The sequence below is a fragment of the Homo sapiens genome, chromosome 13 (assembly GCF_000001405.40).
Source record: "Homo sapiens chromosome 13, GRCh38.p14 Primary Assembly".
NCBI lineage: Eukaryota > Metazoa > Chordata > Mammalia > Primates > Hominidae > Homo > Homo sapiens.
In genome coordinates, this window is record NC_000013.11 from 67,311,398 (window position 1) to 67,331,318 (window position 19,921).

General features: G+C 34.9%; 1 long non-coding RNA gene across 2 annotated transcripts in view; it reads right to left on the bottom strand.

The window, feature by feature from the left end:
* The window catches only part of LOC105370246 (uncharacterized), a 69,539-nt gene extending 54,804 nt beyond the window's left edge, over positions 1-14,735 (bottom strand). For both annotated transcript variants that reach the window (XR_002957498.1, XR_942037.1), the window contains exons 1-2: positions 14,687-14,735; positions 8,342-8,423 (exon numbers count right to left, since the gene is read on the bottom strand). This is a non-coding gene — a long non-coding RNA (uncharacterized LOC105370246). The remainder of the gene's footprint in view (positions 1-8,341; positions 8,424-14,686) is intronic.
* Between the last annotated feature and the right edge of the window lie 5,186 nt (positions 14,736-19,921).

The following is a 19,921-nucleotide window of genomic DNA, read 5'->3' on the forward strand; positions in this document are numbered from 1 at the left end:
AATTTTTAAAATAAAACTAAAACAATCCTTGAAGATTGATGATAGGAGGAGTGATGGTCAAAACTCATAGTCTTGACTCTTTTTTTATGAGACCATCTTTCTCTTGACACGCTCTCACTAATTTTCTTTATTATTATTATTATTATTATTATTATTATTATTATTATTATTTTCTTTTTGAGACAGAGTCTCGCCAGGCTGGAGTGCAATGAGGTGATCTCGGTTCACTGCAACCTCTACCTTCCAGGTTCAAGACATTCTCCTGTCTCAGCTTCCCAAATAGCTGGGGTTACAGGCAAGGGCCACCACACCTGGCTAATTTTTTTTTGTATCTTTAGTGGAGACAGGTTTTCGCCATGTTAGCCAGGCTAATCTCAAACTTCTGACCTCAGGCGGTCCACCCGCCTCGGCCTCCCAAATGCTGGGATTACAGCCACCGCACCCAACCTCACTAATTTTCATAGCAGCTCCAGAATGAACCCAGTGAATTGGGGCCCCCTAATTCCTTGGAACACAACTGAAATATAGCTAGGGCATTTAATCATGACTTCACTGTCATATTTTCTGGAAGCTAACACCTAATCTAGTTAGAAAACTTACAATCAACTTTTTGATAATTTTCCCTATTAAAAACATATATTTTTTGGCTGGGCGTGGTGGCTCATTCCTGTAATCCCAGCACTTTGGGAGGCCAAGGCAGGCAGATCACTTGAAGTCAGGAGTTTGAGACCAGCCTGGCCAACATGACAAAACCCCGTCTCTACTAAAAATACAAAAATTAGCTGGGCATGGGGGTGCACACCAGTAATCCCAGCTACTCGGGAGGCTGAGATGGGAGAATCGCTTGAATCCAGGAGGAGGAAGTTGCAGTGAGCTGAGATTGTGTCACTGCACTCCACCTTGGGTGACAGGGCAAGACTACATCTCAAAAAACAAACAAAAAACTTTTTTTTAATGAATCAAAAATTGGTAATGCTATGTTTTCAATTCTTACCCACTTTCTTTCTTAAATGTCACAATGAGAATTCAAGTCTATACCTAATTCAACTTCAGAGTACAAATATTTTTGTGAAATCACCTCAGGAAATTGACAATTATTGCATCATTGTGATACACTTCTAATTTTTAATGATATTTTAAGCTTCAGTATATAAGCATCTTTAAGCCTCAGTATGTAAATTCTAGCTATATGAAAGACTCATAATTCTGTCTGCATTTTCTATTTGTCTAAATTTTTGTTTTGTTTTTATCATAATTAAATTAAATATTGTTGAAAGTTAACTAGTTCTTCCTGAAAATCTGCCAACACATTTTTCTTTTGGAAGCTGTTGGTATCTGTGTCATATTCTTCATCATGTATGAATCCATTCACCATGAACTTCTAGCTTTGAAAAGATTTATTCTACACTGAGAAATTTGGCAATTTCTACCACCTTTGATTACATTTCCTGGTATGTGACAGGCCACTTTCTGTGTTGGAAAATAAAAATCTTTTTGTGCTGGATCACAGTGCTATTATTTTGAGGACTTTTTTTTTTGAGACGGAGTCTTGCTATGTTGCCCAGGCTGGAGTGCAGTGGCGCAATCTCGGCTCACTGCAAGCTCCGCCTCCCGGGTTCACGCCATTCTCCTTCCTCAGCCTCCCAAGTAGCTGGGACTACAGGCGCCCGCCACCACGCCCGGCTAATTTTTTGTATTTTTAGCAGAGACGGGGTTTCATCGTGTTAGCCAGGATGGTCTCGATCTCCTGACCTCGTGATCCGCCCACCTCGGCCTCCCAAAGTGCTGGGATTACAGGCGTGAGCCACTGAGCCCGGCCGAGGACATTTTAAAAAATGTTCAGGGATCTCAATTTAAGTTAAAATTTAAATCTCTGCTGTGTTGTACTGGCAAATAAGTTGACAAAAAGATAAACAAGTAAGGCCTATGACTAGGTTTGCCCCTGGGTAGATAGTAAAATTGATGGTGAACCTCAAACTTTGAATCTGATTGTCATCTGGCACATTTCTCTTGGCATTGATTATAAGACATATACAAAGGCCAGAAATTATAATTTAGGATGTAAAAAATAATAATAATAACTTGAGTACCAGTGTGTGAAGGTAAGAAACGAATATGAACATAAGCAGTCTTATGCAACTGGATAATACAACTTCATTGTAATAAAAGAAACCTATACAGGAGTTGTTTAAAGTGCTATGTTTTGAAGAACATGCTGATTTTGAAGTTGCATGTGCACATTGAGCTACATTTGTATAGCAAACGAAATAAACTCTTTGTGTTACAGGTTTTGAGGAATGTTATAGACATTAGTGTTGAGCAGCAGGGAGAGCTATAAAAGTCCAGGCTACTCCTTGGAACCACCATTGAATCGACTTCAAATTTAAGTTTACTTATCTTTGAGATCCACTATTTCTCTTCATTCCTTCAGGTTTATCTTTATAAGACAGAGGCTTTCTTTATCTTCCCACCTGAAAGTATACCCAAACCTGTCTAGAAACTTTAAAACTCAGATCTTATGACTCAAACATGAGCATATCATAATATAATAATGAAAATCTGATATTCACGAATGAAATAACACAATTCATACCTGTATTTCATGTGTAAAATGGCCATGTCATCTCTACCCTTTCTGATTTTTTCTGTTAATCATCTACAATTTGTTTCAAGAATAAAATAAAAAAATTTTTGCAAAGAGTTTAATGTTTAAAATGGCTGCCATTATTATTTAAAATATCTAGCAATCAACATATTTTAGATTTTAATAGTATAAATAATACATGTGGGTAGTAGATTGGTGTGGTGGCAGAATAATAGCTCCCAGAGATGTCCAAGCATAATTACGAGAACTTGTGACAATGTTGCCTTACAGGAAAAAGTGTCTTTGCCAATATGGTTAAGGGTGGCACAGACTTTGAGATGAGAGATTATCCTGGAATATCCAGATGCACCCAATCAAATAATGTAAACGTAATAGGTTCATTGCCTGATGTACTCCTCTGTGGGAGTCTTCAAATTGGTTGCTGGAATTCAGGGTCTGAACAACATCTTAAGTGATCCTTAAACAAAAGCTTTGTGACTCTAATGTCAGAGATCGTGCCTGTAGGATAAATGGGGATGCAAATCTTCAGTATCTAGTGCTATGCGATTTTTAGCAACAAGGAAGTGGGCCAAAGTTCAGCCTGATTAATGCCTAATTATAGCTATGTTTCTGTCCAGAACCCAGAGTGGATTTCTTGTCAACTCTGTGAGGACATTTTCAATCACATGAGATTTTAAAAGCAGAGAACCTTTCCCAGTTGAGGGCAGAGAATTTAAAGACAGTGGCATGAGAAGAACTGGAACCACCATTGCTGGCTTTGAAGGTGGAGATAGCGGCCCCAGCCAAGGAATGTGGAAGGTCTCTAGAATCTGGAAAAGTGAAACAGAATTTTTCCTAGAACCTTCAGAAAGGAACATAGGTCCACTGACACTTCAATTTTATTCCAGTGAGACCCAGGTCTAACTTGTGAACTACAAGTTGAAAGGTGATAAATGTGTATTGTTTAAGCCACCAAGTTTGTGAAAGCCACCAAGTTTGTTCCATCGGCAATAGAATATCATATTAATACAGTAGGATTTTAAATTCTGGTAGCACAACATTAAAATTAAACTATCTATAATTTATATTATGAGACAACGTAGGAAAAAGCAGAGAAATGTTGAACAATCAAATGAATTGTCAAGATGTGTCAAATGTGTATGTCACATGTGATACAATTTGGATATTTGTCTCCTTTGAATCTCATGTTGAAATGTGACCCCCAATATTGGAAGTGAGGCCTGGTGGGAGATGTTTAGGTGTTGGGGTGTGGATCCCTTATGACTAGCTAGGTGCTCTCCCATGTTAATAAGTGAGTTCTCCCCTTAGCGGTTCATGGAGGACTGGTTGTTTAAAAGAGCATGGCACCCTTCTCCTTACTCTCTTGCTCCTTCTCTCAGCATGTGATACACTAGGTCCCCTTGCTTTCCATGAGCAAAAGCTTCCTGAGGGCCTCACCAGAAGCAGATGCTGGTGCTATGCTTCCTGACTAGCTCACACAACTGTGAGCCCAATAAACCTCCTTTCTTCTTAAATTACCCAGCCGCAGGAATTCCTTTATGGCAATGTAAAACATATTGATACATCATGGTACTAGAATTTAAGTGTAAGCCTAGAGTTAAAGGAATACCCAATAAATAGAAACAAAGTAGAGCAAATGAACAGAAAAATATAGTTAAATATTATTTGATTAATTTGCTAAACCTTCATAAAGCTGTTTGTGTTTGAAATTATTCCATTATTTTAAAGAAAAGAGAAAGGCATATCATCAGGAGAGTGTTAAAAGACTCTAGTTCTATATTTCAAAGTAGGTATATTAGTTTCCCGTGGCTGATGTAACAAATTACCACAAACTTAGTGACCTAAAACAACACACATTTATTCACCTACAGTTCTGGGGGTCAGAAGTCTAAAAGTGTATTTCACTGGGCAGAAACCTAGGTTTTGGTGGGGTGGGTATATTTTCAGAGACTGTAGGAAAGAAAATGTTTCCTTGCCTTTTCCAGACTCTAAGGTTGCATTCCTTCACTCATGCTCTCTCCTTCATTGTTCAGATCTGCAGCTCAGCATCTTCAAATCTCTGTTTTGTTCTTACATCTTTTTCTCATTTATCTCCTTTCTCTCTTGCTGTATTCCTCTTAAAGAGATGCATGTGATCGCATTTAGGGACCATCCTAATAATCTAGGACAATCTCTCCATCTTAACATCCTCAATTTAATCATATCTGCAAAGATGCTTTTTCAAATATGGTAACATTCACAGATTCTGTGGATTATGACCTGATGCAGGAACCATTAGCTTACTACAGTAAGTTTGAAATGAAATGTTTATTTCCTTTACACATTGATTGTTTTCCTCTCTTTCTCTAAAGTATCACTCTCTCTTTTTCTCTCTGTCTGTCTTTCTATGTTTAATACACTTTGAAAATGATGACACAAGATATGAATTTAAGGTAACCTGATTATACAAAAATCTCTCTTACATGTTTTGTAAGAATTATTTCCTTATGTGTCTTAATAGCAAAAGATCTGACCTCAGTATATACACTCTGTCATTCTCATTTCCCCAGAAAACTCTTTCAAGGCAGAAACTGCTTAGAATATTTTTCTGGTTAGAATATTTGATAAGCTTGTATCAAAGCACACATCTGATTACAGATGATCAATATTTAAAAATTGACTTGAACAATTAAATTTAATTTGATGAGTTCTGGCCTCAAAACTTTATCAAATAAAGCTATTTCATGACTTGACAAAAGTAATTCATTTTTCCTAGAACAGATTTATGAGAATGCTGTAGGTTTTTAGGATTTTAATGCTGTAGGTTCTTCTGTTAATCTATTTCTTCTCCACTAGAAGAAAAAAAAAGCTTATATTTTGGGAAAACACTTTTATAGCGGAAGAGAGGCCAAGTGTTCTTTTTTTTTTTCTCTTTTCTTCAACTTTTATTTTAAGTTCTGGGGTATATATGCAGGATGTGCACGTTTGTTACATAGGTAAATGTGCGCCATGGTGGTTTGCTGCACAGATCAGCCCATCACCTAGGTATTCAGCCCAGCATCTATTAGCTATTATTCCTGATGCTCTCTCTCTCCCCCTGCTTTATTACCCCCAATAGCCCCAGTGTGTGATGTTCCCCACCATATGTCCTCATTGTTCAGCTCCTACTTGTGAGAATATGCAGTGTTTGGTTTTCTGTTCCTGCATTAGTTTGGTGAGAACAATAGCTTCCAGCTCCATCCATGTCCCTGCAAAGGACATGATCTCATTTATTTTTATGGCTGTATGGTATTCCATTGTGTATATGTACCACATTTTCTTTATCCAGTCCATCATTGATGGGCATTTGGCTTGATTCCATGTCTTTGCTATTGTTAATAGTGCTGCAATTAACATATACGTGCATATATATACATATATTATATATATAAAATATAATAATTTATATTCCTTTGGGTATATACCCGGTAAAGGGATTGCTGGGTCAAATGGTATTTCTGCCTCTAGATGTTTGAAAAATTGCCACACTGTCTTCCACAATGGTTGAACTAATTTACACTCCCAACAACAGTGGAAAAGTGTTCCTTTTTCTCCACGGCCTCACCAGCATGTAACCTCACCAGCATTTGTTTTCTTTTTACTTTTTAATAATTGTCATTGTGACTGGTGTGAGGTGGTATCTCATCGTGGTTTTGATCTGCATTTTCCTAATGATCAGAGATGTTGAGCTTTTTTTCATATGTTTGTTGGCTGCCTGTATGTCTTCTTTTAAGACGTGTCAGTTCATGTCCTTTGCCCACTTTTTAATGGGGTTGTTTGTTTTTTCTTGTAAGTTTGTTTAAGTTCCTTGTAGACTCTGGATATTAGACCTTGGGCAGATGGATATATTGCAAAATTTTTCTCTCATGCTGTAGGTTGTCTGTTCACTCTGATGATAGTTTCTTTGGCTGTGCGGAACCTCCTTAGTTTAATTAGATTCCATTTGTTAATTTTTGCTTTTGTTGCAATTTCTTTTGGAGTTTTTCTTCTGAAATCTTTGCTTGTGCCTATGTCCTGAATGGTATCGGAGAGGCTGAGTTTTCTAGTAAAAAAATTGCTTTAATGGGTAGTGTCTGCACACATCAGTTTGTGTGAAGGATCATAGTCTATATCGAGAATCATCTATGCCACTTTAACTCACTCAGGGCTACCACAATGCACAACTCCTGGGGTATCATTCTCAATTACATTTATGTATCTATGTAAATGGTGCACCTGGAGTCATGTGGCATATCCAGAGCTGCCGTATCTAATGGGCTTGCAAAATGGACTCAACTGCTTTAAACTGGAAATTCTTTTTTTTTTTTTTTTGTAATTGAATTTGATAGTGGAGATTACAAAGCAAACAGGGAAATCTCCATTAAGGGGACGTGTTACAGAAAAACCTGAGGTGATCTAATATCTCCATGTTACTGAAAGGAATGAATACATTCATAATCCTATCAGTCCTAGTAAGAAGACATAGGCAGGAACTTCACTACTTGTAGAAAACCTGTTCCAATATTGTTTTATGTTTTTCATTATTAGTCACCCTAAACATTTCAGTAAAGTCTGTACTTTTGCCAGACACTGTGGTGAAACTGATACACAAATAGTAGTATCTCTTGGTTCTCACTTTCAAATAGGTCACAATCTCATGGAATTTGCAGAAAAGCACATATGAACATAATTCTCAGTTAAATAAACTATCTACAAGTCCACTTCTTATGGAGTGTGCCCTATCTACTCTAATCAAGAAACCAAATTTTACATTTTAATTTTTCTCTCTTTAAATTCTAAATGTGATTGTTGCGTGCATTATTTAATTCAACAACTGTTTATTGAATATTCAGCAAGTTCTCATGTCATTTTTTTTCCAAAATAAAATACTAGTTCATCTTGTGATTCAAATAACATTATGGAGTGGGTTCTTTTGTTTTTTAATAATGTTAGTAGCTTGTGTTTGTCATTAGTACAGTTGTCTGACTGTCTTTGAATGTTGCAATGGCACTGGCTTTAGACAGTTCCTCAGGGCAGGGACTGAGTCTGCTTAAATTGCTTTGTGCAGAGCACAGGTGGCTGAGTAATAAACACTTTTTGCTGATGCAATGTCTTGTATTGAAGACAAAGCCTCTGATTACTTAGTGTTTTGAAATTAGTTTTTAAAGATGCATCAGGAATCCAATTAGTGTACAATGTGTGCATGACACCAAAATGGCTTTGGAGCAGATTAACAAGACCACAACACCCTTATCTCAAAAAAATTATATTCTAAAACCAATAGTACAGGATGAAAACAAATGTGAGCATTGAATAATAGATTTTCTTTCCATAACCTTAATAAAATACCTAATCTTGTACAAAACAAGTATGCAAATGTGTATGTGTCTATACATTTTTCTTCATCTCTCCATTATGCAGGTTAGAAATAGATCAATGGCATTGTTATAGGCATAATCAGAAGCAAACTGGCATTAGCTGAGCTATGAATATTAGTTTGAAATGTTCAATGTAATTTTTTATTTTTGTTTTTTTCTCATATTAAATATTATCTAGGGAGAAAGTATCATTCTTTCTGGAATACCTGCCACTCCAGGTCTTGCTCTCCAGAGCAAATCCCCTGGTCATCTTTTGAGAGGCCTTTGGATTTCAGAAGAGATATGAGAGGCACAGTTCATTCATTTGACCTGTAACCCATCTAGCTGCTCTGACTTAATCTCTTTTCTCATCTTGGCTTACCTGTGACTTGCACATGGAACATAGGCTTCTGCTTTTCTTGTCTTTTTAATCCAACTCCCATCAACGATGCCAGAGTAATCATCTACAAAGCAAGCAATCATACCACACATCTATCTAAATTTACTCATTGGCTTATTTGTCTTCCCTGATTGCAAATTCTGAAAAAACACAGTTCATTTCTCATTACACTTCCATCCTAAGGCTTGTACATAATACACACTCAATACCTGTTTGTTAATCACATGGCTGGATTGATCTGACAACATCTTGATCCTTCACTTTTGACTCAGTGTTATCCCAGGTTTTCATTTAAATTTTCTGTTTGTGTTTTAAATTTTAGCCCTTACCATATCATGGTAATTCTCATTCCATTTTCCCTCTTGATTTGCAGTGCTAGGCTTACTCAATCTCATCAAGCTATAGATTGTCTTCCACGTAGGGTACCTGGTTACTATAATGCATATTGGAGTAGTCTCATACAATTTTTCTACCTACATCTTTTTTTTATTGTTGCTGTAACACATAATCACATACTTACTAGCTTAAAATAAAATGAATTTATCCTCTTAGAGTTCTGGAAGACAGAAGTTTCAAAACACTATTACAGGACTAAAATCAAGATGTTGGCAGAACCATCTCCTTCGGGAGGCTCCAGGAGAGAATCTGCTTCTTTTTTCAACTTTTAGAGGGCACTGGCATGCTTTGACTCGTGGCCATATCACAATGTCTGCTTCTGTCTTCACCTCCCCTTCCCCTCTCTGTAGTCAAATCTTCTTCGTCTCCTTGTAAGTACCCTTCTGATTATATTGGGCCCACCATGTAATCAAGGATAACATTCCCATCTCAAAATCTTTAAATTAATCACATTTGTAATGTTCCCTTTACCATGAAAGGTAACGCATTTACAGGTTTCGGGGATTCTTACATTGACATCTTTGGGACCATTATTCATCATATCTTATTACCCTTGTTTTTATTTAAATTGGCAAGTAAAAACTATACATATTTATGGTGAATAATATGATATTTTCATCTATGTATAGATGTGAAATGTATGTATAGATTGTGAAATGGCTAAGTTAAGCTATTTAACATACGCATTACCTCACATACTTTTTTGGTGAGAACACTTAAAATCTACCTTCTTAGCTATTTTCAAGTATACATTTATTGTTATTAACTATAGTCACCATGATATACAATAGAGCCCTTGAACGTTTATTTATCATGTGCAACTAAAATTTTGTGTCCTTTGACCAACATCTTCCCAATCCCCCCTCCTCCTCCAGCACCTGGTAATCATCATTTTTCTCTGTGTTTCTATAAGTTCCAATTTTTAGATTCCACATGTAAGTGAGCATCCTTCTTGAAACAATTTCATAAGGCAACTATGGTTGTCCAAAAAGGATTCCTTTATGTCCCCCATATGGCATATCTTCATTTTGTTTCTTTATTGATTTATTCTTTTTTCTTTTTCAACATCAATATATGGCCATAATAAAAATTTCAAGCAACACAGAAATATATAATATATACAGCTGCCTTTGTCACCTGCTTCCCAGCAATGACCAATCTTAAAAATTCAATGTGAATTATTCATTTTTTCATAACGAGAAAGGAAGAAAAACATATGCACATTCTATGTACTCTACGCATTTACAAATATAGATGATTAATAAAGAAGCAGATATTATTCTAGATTTTGATGTTTTCCAACTAATAATATAGGTTGAGCATATTTCCATGTCAGCACATGTATATTTTCTCCATATTACAAGGTAGAAGAATACTACATTGAAATTGCATGTTAATTATAGGATGATTGGCATATTTGTATTATTGATTCTTTCTACTCAGGAATATAGTATCTTTTTAAATCTTTACTGTTTTGTTAATTTTTTTCAATCATATCTTTCTCAAATTTGTGAAGTTTACTCCTAAATATTTAGTTGGTTTTTTTTTTTTCCTATTTTAAATTGTGTGTGTGTTCCTGGATTATTATTGCTGGTATTTGAAAAAGCTATTATTTTGGTATGTTTCCTTGTATCTGGCTATTTGACTGAATACTCATTACTGTTATTGGTTCTTAAGTGGTCCATCTGCATTTACTAGGAGTAGAAATATATTCTGTGCAACTAATGACAATTTAGTTTTTTCCTTCTTGGTTCACCATTTTAAAAATTTGCCAGCTCTAGATACATAATTACTCTCTGGATCTTGCTTCAGACACTTGTGCGTGCCAAGTAGCCATGGATCAGCTTCTTATAATAATAAACCATCTTGGCACCTATTGTAGGAGAAGATAAGAAATAATACTTGAGACCAATATCAGAATAAATTTTTATATCTTAGTAGGAAACCACAAGTCTCTGTTTTTATTTAATGTATATTGTAAAAACAGCGAAAGATTCAAAGAGAACAGAGTGGAAAGCATGTGAGATTGTTTCAAACTCTGTTCCTTCCAGTCTTCATTGTGTGTCCTCACAGTATGGCATTTAATTTTTCTCCTTGTTTGTTTTCTTATCTGATGGCGAATAAACACAAAAATGATATACATAGCAAAGAAGTTCAGTGAACACTATTTTTATTAACAAGGCATGTTTCTATCTAGGAGTATTATATGCCAAAAATTAGCATCTTACAGTGTAAAACAGTGTGTGGTTTCTAGTATTAGTGTTAAGCATTAAAAACACAGAAAAAGTTGTATATTAAAAATAAAGCAAACATTATGACAAGAACTAGAATGCAAATTTTCCAAACAGATAGAATGTTTTGAAAGGAACAAACATATAATAAACATCACTGATAAAGTCAAAGCAAGTGGTTGAGAGGTAGACAACAAGTACTTGGGAGAATGTCATATAGTTTCCAAGGGTGTTCATCTTGCTTTCAAAAACAGGCATAATTTTCAAGTTCAAGGCATTTTTTTTTTCATTTATCTTTAGCAGTTTTGAAGCATGCTTGCTATAAATATGGGTGCATGTATTTAGATATATTCTTCAGTTTCCTAACTGTTATTACCAGGAGAGAGCTTCAAATTCATTGAAATATCCTGTACTCAGTATCATAAAAACCAGTTACAAATGTTACTCTAATGCCAACTTACTTAATCTTCATAAATAATGTATTCATTTTACCAGCTATTGCTAGATCATTTAAAAACAAATTGCCAGTGTGAAAAGAGTTACACCATTACTATCCTTTCAAAAAATTAGTTGTATTCATTTCATCTTTAAAAATATTTTATGAAATATCTTAAACATATAAAATGTTTAGAGCATGATTTTGAAGATACCAAAGTAAATACATATGCATGCATCTTAACATTTTACCATATTTACTTCAGATTTTTAAGAAGTAAAATATAACAGATACAGTTGAAAGCACTTTGTCCCTTTTTCAATCATATTTTCTTCCCTCTCTACCCCAAGTTAACCAGTATGAGGTCAGTGATTATTCTCCATCCATGCATTTTTAAATATTTTAAGAAGTATATATATATCCTTATGAATATTGTTTTGCACACTTAACCATGCATTTTTAAATATTTTAAGAAGTATATATATATCCTTATGAATATTGTTTTGCACACTTAACCATGCATTTTTAAATATTTTAAGAAGTATATATATATCCTTATGAATATTGTTTTGTACACTTAAAAATATACACAAACTACCTTGTACTATTGACTTAATTTTTCATTTTCTTTTAAAATCAATGTTATATTTTTGGCATTTGTCCAGATTAACATCAGTCAATCTATTTATTTTAAGTGCCCTGTAAACTATTTTTAAGTGCCCTGTAAACTATTCTATTGAATAAATATATATTCCTGTGTTCTGTTATTAATGGGCATTTGTTTAGATTATTTCCTTTTGAGATATACACTGTTACATGTGCAGGCTTTCTCTAGAGTGGTGCTTCATAAACTTTAATTTGCATGTAGAACCACCCAAGACACCAGTTAAACTGCAGATCTTGATTCAGTAGATCTTGAGTGGATCCTGAGATTACGCATTTTTTAAAAGTTTCTTAGTCATGCCTCTGCTGCTTGTCCCCTGAACACAAAACATACTAGCAGGCAGCAAGTCACTATCATATACATGTGAAGTATACCCCTTCATAGGTATACTTAAGTACCATGTGAATGTGTATATACACGTTCATAGGTATACTTCACATGTGAATGTGTGTGTACATTCACCTGGTGCTGAAGTGGGTATACTTTATACACATACACATTCACATGTGAAGTATACCTATGAAGTGGGTATGGTAGGCTGGTTCTTTCAACACTTCTCAAAGCCCATTACATTTGGCTATCTTAAGGTTGAAAAGCAAACTACTCTGAACCCCAATCCCTTTTTCAGCTATCTATGAGATAGTTCTGGCCAATGCAGTACAAGCATAAACTGCTGATGCCAGTTCAATTGTCCCAACTTTTTTCTTGTCCAGAATTGTGATGATCCTGGAGGTGCAGCAGCCGCACATTAAGGAAGGCAGAGTGACAGAGTGGTTCTGATCCCTTGAGGCCATTGTTAGCCTCTGCTCCAGTCCTGGGATGCCTGCCCAGATAATTTTTATTTTCATGTCTGAGATAAACCTCTTTCTTGATTAAGCCATTGTAATCTGGTTTACAGTTACTTATACCACTGTTTCATTTTAATGTAGTGAGATGGTGAGGGCGCAGGTGGAAGATGGGGTGGCGGCCGGATTCATTTTAATGATACAGTGCCTCTTCAGTTTTTTTAGATATTGCAAATTGCTCACAAAATGCTATTTTACTCTTTCATCAGGAACATGAGATAATTTCAAGTTTTATTTTTCTACGTCTTTGCTGGTTCTTGTCACTTTCAAACATTTTAAAGTTCTTGCCCGTTCAATAGTGAGAATGGCATCTAATTGTGTTTTAATTTTCATTTCTGTGATTACTAGCTACGTTAAACAGATTTTCTGTGCTCACTGCTCATTCAGATATCCTCTGTGTTAATCGTTTTTATTGTTGTAAATTTTCTCATTGGGTTGTCATTTTATTATGGGTTTATTTTTATTGGAGATGTTCTTATCAAATAATTTATTGCTGGGTTTTATGTATACCCAGTAGAAAATATCTTCTTTTAGATCATGATTGGTCTTTTCACTTTGTTTATCATGTCTCTAGTTAGACAAAGTTTAAATTAATTATGATCAAATTTATAAATATTTTTCTGTACATTTTGTGCTCTTTGTATCTTTAAGATGTCATTGCTTATTCTGAGATCATATCTTCTTTTTTTTTTACAGTTTTAGCATTTTGCTTTTTACATTTAAATTACATTCTATCTGGAATGAAGTTTTGTGGTTTAATGTGTGGAAAGAATCCAATTTCATATTTTTCATACAAACAACCAGTCATCTTCCACTATATCATAAGTATAAATGAAATAACACTCAAAAATTTATTTCTGCAAAAAAATGTACAGAAATGAGGTAATATCAGATGGTTATTAAAAATCTATTAGAAATATTTGAAAAATATTAATATTGAGAACAAAACCCAGGATAAACTCTAGAGTATTTAGCACTATGGTCCGTCATGTTAATTAGACCTAATGGCAGAGACAAATACAATATTTGCTTTGGAAAGATGCACATGTGCCAGAAAATAAGAGTTAAAGTCCTCAAAAACAGAAGCTCCAGTGAGATGTTTAGTATTTAAATAGGCTTTGGCATGCCAGGATATCATTTTAAGCCAGTGGTTCTCAAGCTTATATGTTCATTAGAATCATCCTCAGATAAACAGATCTAAGTTGAAGTTCAAGAATTTGTAGTTCTAAAAAATTTCCAAGTAATGTAAAGCCACACCACCTGCATCAGAAATCAAGTCAAAAAGCAGCTCCTTGTAATATATTAAGCACTAGCTGAGGCTGAATGCCTGACTATGTGACATCAATGAGAGGATATTATTACAAAGAAACTTAATGTCAGACGGATACAACAATAAAGAAGAGTTCATTCTTTACTGCTTTATAAGCCAAATTTGTCATTTAATATATATATTATATATATTTTATATATATATATATAATATATATATGTATGCTATCTTCTCAGTCCTTTAAGGGTAGTATACCACCTTAATATCAGGTAGAGTGAGTCTTCTCACATTTATTCTTAAAGATCTACTTCACAATTTATGCCTTTTTGTTTTCCAAGTAGGTCTCTGGGATGAATGGTTAGAGAGACCAACCTTGTTTCCAAAACATGGTTCGCAGACCTGAGCATTCTAGCTGCTGAGAATCTATCACTGTATATGAACTATTGGTTCAATGTGTACGCTGGAAAATAGAACTTCAAACTTACCATATATATTAATCTCTGCTGTTTCTTAGTGGTGACTGTCGTATCCATTCCATCATTCTATGAGGAAAGTCAGTGTTTGTGATGCAATATATTGTAAAAGATGTGAGTTCTATGATTAGGAGCTCATTGTCACACCTCTTTTGCCACAAAATTGATCCTCTGTTATGACGTAATGAAGTATAGAACCCTATGCCATTAAATCAGGGATTCTCTTTGTCCTAAGATAGTAATGCTTGCAGAGGCACTGCAGCAGGCAAAGAAGATAAACCCCTATCTGAGGTATGTGCCATTTCCAGCAAGAATAAATTGCTGTACCTTCCAGGATGGAAAGGGTCCAATATATTCAACTTGACACCAAGAGGTCTTTTTGAGGAATAGTGCCAAGATAAAGGATTCAGAGTCGTTCTCTTCTGTTGGCAGGTTTATAGGTGGTGAAGGGAAACAATTTCTTAAGCCCATACATAGTTTACAGCTGTGCTACCATGTACACTCTCTTCTTGGACCCATGGTGGAAACACTGGAGTTGACGAGAAGAGAGGCTGGTGGACGTCTGCTAGGAAGATAACCCTGTCCGCCTTGTTGTTAAGAGTCTCTAACATTGCTCTCTAGTGAGTATTAATGTGAGACACAAAGATGTGTGTATTTTGCAACCAATGTCAGTACTATTCACTTGACTCTTTGCTAAACTGTTTGACTCTAATTTTCCTATGTTTGTCTTTATATATCTGGAGCAAATAGGCCATTCATGCCTGCCTAGGAGTTGGTGTAAATCTATACTTGCACTCATCCCCATCTTTCCAAAGTAAATAACCAAGTGCATGGCATTGAGCTCTTCCCATTAGGAGAGTATTTCCTTCTGCTGCTTTATACGGGGCCAGCCCTGAAAAAGATTGTAGTTTGGAAGCAGTCCATTTTCCTCTAATAACAACTTATTTGCCCATAAATCAGAGCTGAATTTGTATCCACCTTTGTCAGTGGGTCTTAGGGAACCCTCCAGAAGATCAGTTGTAAAATTGAGGACAAGGCAGAAATGAAACAAAGTAGATGAAAATTAAGCCTTGGCCTCTTGTTCATGTACCTTGTTACGTTCTCTGAATCTTCTAGGGCTATTTGTAAGTGTATCATTTCCATGGCATCATGAATTATTGTTGTATCCGTCTGACCTTAAGTTTCTTTGTAATAATATCCTCTCATTGATGTCACATAGTCAGGCATTCAGCCTCAGCTAGTGCTTAATATATTACAAGGAGCTGCTTTTTGACTTGATTTCTGATGCAGGTGGTGTGGCTTTACATTACTTGGAAATTTTTTAGAACTACAAATTCTTGAACTTCAACTTAGATCTGTTTATCTGAGGATGATTCTAATGAACATATAAGCTTGAGAACCACTGGCTTAAAATGATATCCTGGCATGCCAAAGCCTATTTAAATACTAAACATCTCACTGGAGCTTCTGTTTTTGAGGACTTTAACTCTTATTTTCTGGCACATGTGCATCTTTCCAAAGCAAATATTGTATTTGTCTCTGCCATTAGGTCTAATTAACATGACGGACCATAGTGCTAAATACTCTAGAGTTTATCCTGGGTTTTGTTCTCAATATTAATATTTTTCAAATATTTCTAATAGATTTTTAATAACCATCTGATATTACCTCATTTCTGCACATTTTTTTGCAGAAATAAATTTTTGAGTGTTATTTCATTTATACTTATGATATTAAAAGTAATTTTTATTTTTTTGCATATTATCACATTATTCTTATTTCATCTGAAGAAATTCATTTCAAATACTGTTTTATTCTCTAATCTTTGTGCTAATTGAAATTTCAACTTTTTAGGTCATCTTGAGTGGTATATGGCAGGGACAAGAGCAGTGATTCATTCTCTTTCTGTCTCTTTCTCATAACCCATCTTGCATATTTTTGAATGCCTTCACTTAACTCATGAAACCCCCAATCCAGAGTCAATTCTCACAATATCAGCTTGGAGCTCCTTTCTACAATGATAGATGGTAGTGTGGTCTGAATGTTTATGTCCTCCACAAAATCCATAAGTTAAAATCCTGACCCTCAAGGTGATGGTATTAGGAGGTGGGCCCTTGGGAAGTAATTAGGTCATAAGGATGGATTCCTTATGAATGGAATTAGTACCTGATAAAAGAGATCCTAGAGAGCTCTGGCACCTATCTTACCATGTAAGGTTAGAGTGAGAAAAAGACTGTCTATAATTCAAATGCAGGCCCTCATCAGACACTGAATTTGCCTTGAACTTCCCAACCTCCAAAACTCAGAAATAAGTTTGTTGTTTATAAGCTACCAAAACTCTGAGAAATAAGTTTATGCTATTTATAAGCTACCTATTTTATTTATGGCAGCCTGTATGGACTAAGGCACACTAGGGATATTGCAAATCCAGATCTCAAATCAGAGGTGGACTGTTTTAGACCCTGGTCTTAAATTGAGCCTTTACCTATATACTCCCCAGAACCTTAATTTCAAATAAGCCATAACTTTGGGCCTTATTTTATGTTAACTTATATGCATTTTATATCTATCATCTATCTGTCTATCCATCTATCTATCTATCATCTATCTGTCTATCTGTCTATCTATCTGTCTATCTGTCACACATTTTTTTAAGGTGGCAAGGTGTAAGAGAAATAAAAATTTCAAAGTGTCAATTTATAAATCATTGTAAATAGAAACTCCATATTTTATTTTTCTCTTTTTTTAATGTCTAAAATTAAACTTTTAAGCAAAGCAGAAAGCATTTCACAATGAAGAAATAACAAATTGATACCAGCTGATACACCTAGAATATTTTACCAAAGTATAACATTAATAATATGTAGGTAATCCTAGATAATATAACTCCAGGAGACTTCCTCTTCCTTCAGAACTATAAAGCAGGGGAAATTATTTTAGCGAGATAACATCCTGCACAATGGCCAGGCAGTAGCTGGGAATTACATTAATATGTATTAGCTCTGCATGAAATTGTATTTTCTTCAGTATTTCCTTATTATCTAACAGATCAAGTCCAAACATCTGCACTTTTTCAATATTTTCCATGAGCCATCTACTCCTTCTTAGCCAAACATTTATCAAATTATTCCATGACATTTCATCAGGCCGTATTCCTCCTTTCTTCTAAAGACAAGGCATACTCATTGCTAACGTAACAGCTTTGCTTATTCTGGCCTGTTTTTCCATGGTATTCTCTAACACCTTTTCTTTATCTATCTGTATTCTTAACATCCTTTATGAACCAGATCAACTTCAATCTTCTGCAGAAAGCCCTCAAACATTTCAGGAGTTTTACAGTAAGTTGGTCCATTCCATTTGAATTACATCCTATTTTTCTCTTAAGTTATTATTGTTCATACTTTAATGCTGTGTATGTTGGCATGTGACTTGAACTTTAAGCTCTTTGAGCAGAAAGCCTGTGTCCTATATTTATTTGGATATTCCACAGTACATGGCCAAATGCAGAACATGTCACTGACTGGCTGATTTGACGAGAGGTCTAGGGATACAATCATCACTTGCGTATCACTTTTTTCACTCCAGGCGACCTCACTTTGACCTGCCTCACCTTAACCTGCCCATTTTTCTTTTCAGACATGTCTGTGGAGTTTTTGCTGGGAATAATTGAAAAGAAAGACTAAATGTGCAGCCCTTTCATTGGAGACGATTATTCATTCTCTACCCCCATCCTCATACCTACATTTTTTAAAAATCATATCTAAAGATATGTGGTTCTGCAGACTTTTCTTTCTAAGCATTCTATATATCAATTGTCAATCAATTGTCAAGCATTCACTGGTCCCTTGGCTCAAACTCTAAATTTTGCCAAGTATTTTACATATCTATTATACAGGGAACAGAGTAAAAATAGTTAACACAGAAGTCAATGTTATACAATTAAAACATATTTATAAGAATAATCCATCCAATAAAAATAAGCTTATCAGTATCATACCTGCATATTTTCTATGAATTATTCTATTTTAATGAAAAAGATTAATAGATTATATAGCACTCAATGGCAAAAGTACGGCATATTAAGCTTAGAAGAATCAAGAGAATGTGGAGAAAATAATATTTAGTTCAAAATTTAATTTACCTTATACTCTTTAACAAACAAATCCACTGGAATATTTTCTATATGACTTGTGTCCTTGTAAATTTTTAAGATTTGCAAAAACAAAGAAATTCAATGAATTACAGGCAATTTATATAATGGTGTTACAGTTTTTGCAACGTAAGCAAGCAGTGATAAAAATGCATTATCTTCCTCATTATGTCGATTTAATGTATTAGTTTGTAGCATATGGCATGTAAGCCTCATGATAGGAGAACGAGCTTAGGTTTTTTATTCCATCTACCAATAGGTGCCAGCATTCATTCAGTTCCCTCCAGGCATGGTAATTGTTCACATAACAGCAGGATGTGCATCTAGACTCATGGCAATGGCTGAGAAATTGAGTTCATCTTACATTTTTTCCTCACCAGCTTTTTTTTTTTTTTTAGATTTCTTTTACTTGGAAGTTTTTTTTTTTTATTATACTTTAAGTTTTAGGGTACATGTGCACCAGCTTTTATTGCACTGTGTATTTCAGAGTAGTGACTTGATTTTTATGCAATTTAATTCTCTTCCTGTGAGCATCATCTTTGAGAAATTATGATCTTTCAGTTCATTCTTCATTCAATAATGTGTTTATGTGTTCTCTATACAGCATTATTTTGATACCAACTATTCTGTCAAATATTCCAGAATGAATCAATTTATATAAACTAAGCCAAATAAATCAGTCTTGAGAAATACACCATCAATTCCATTACACAAAATGAAGCATATGAAACACTGTATTTTTAGTGAAAAGTAGATCAACTGTAGACACTAAAGTATACATTACTAGTATATCAGTCCCCTTATTTTGGTACATATCCCTTCTAACTGGCTCTTTTTAGGGCAGTGATTGCCATAATATAATTTAGTTTCTGATAGAGATCTGAGCTATAAAAGGAATGATGGAGTGCCTAATGACTAAGGTTGTTTCAGGTAAGGCATCCCAGAAGACATCTCATACCACCAGAAGATAGCGTTAACATATCTAAAAGATCAGAGTGATAGAAGGAAAGGAGGATTTTCTAGGAATAAAAAAGAGGTCATCAAATCAGCAGCTGTATGGTTAATCCTAAAAAGACAGTATCAATTATATTACTGTC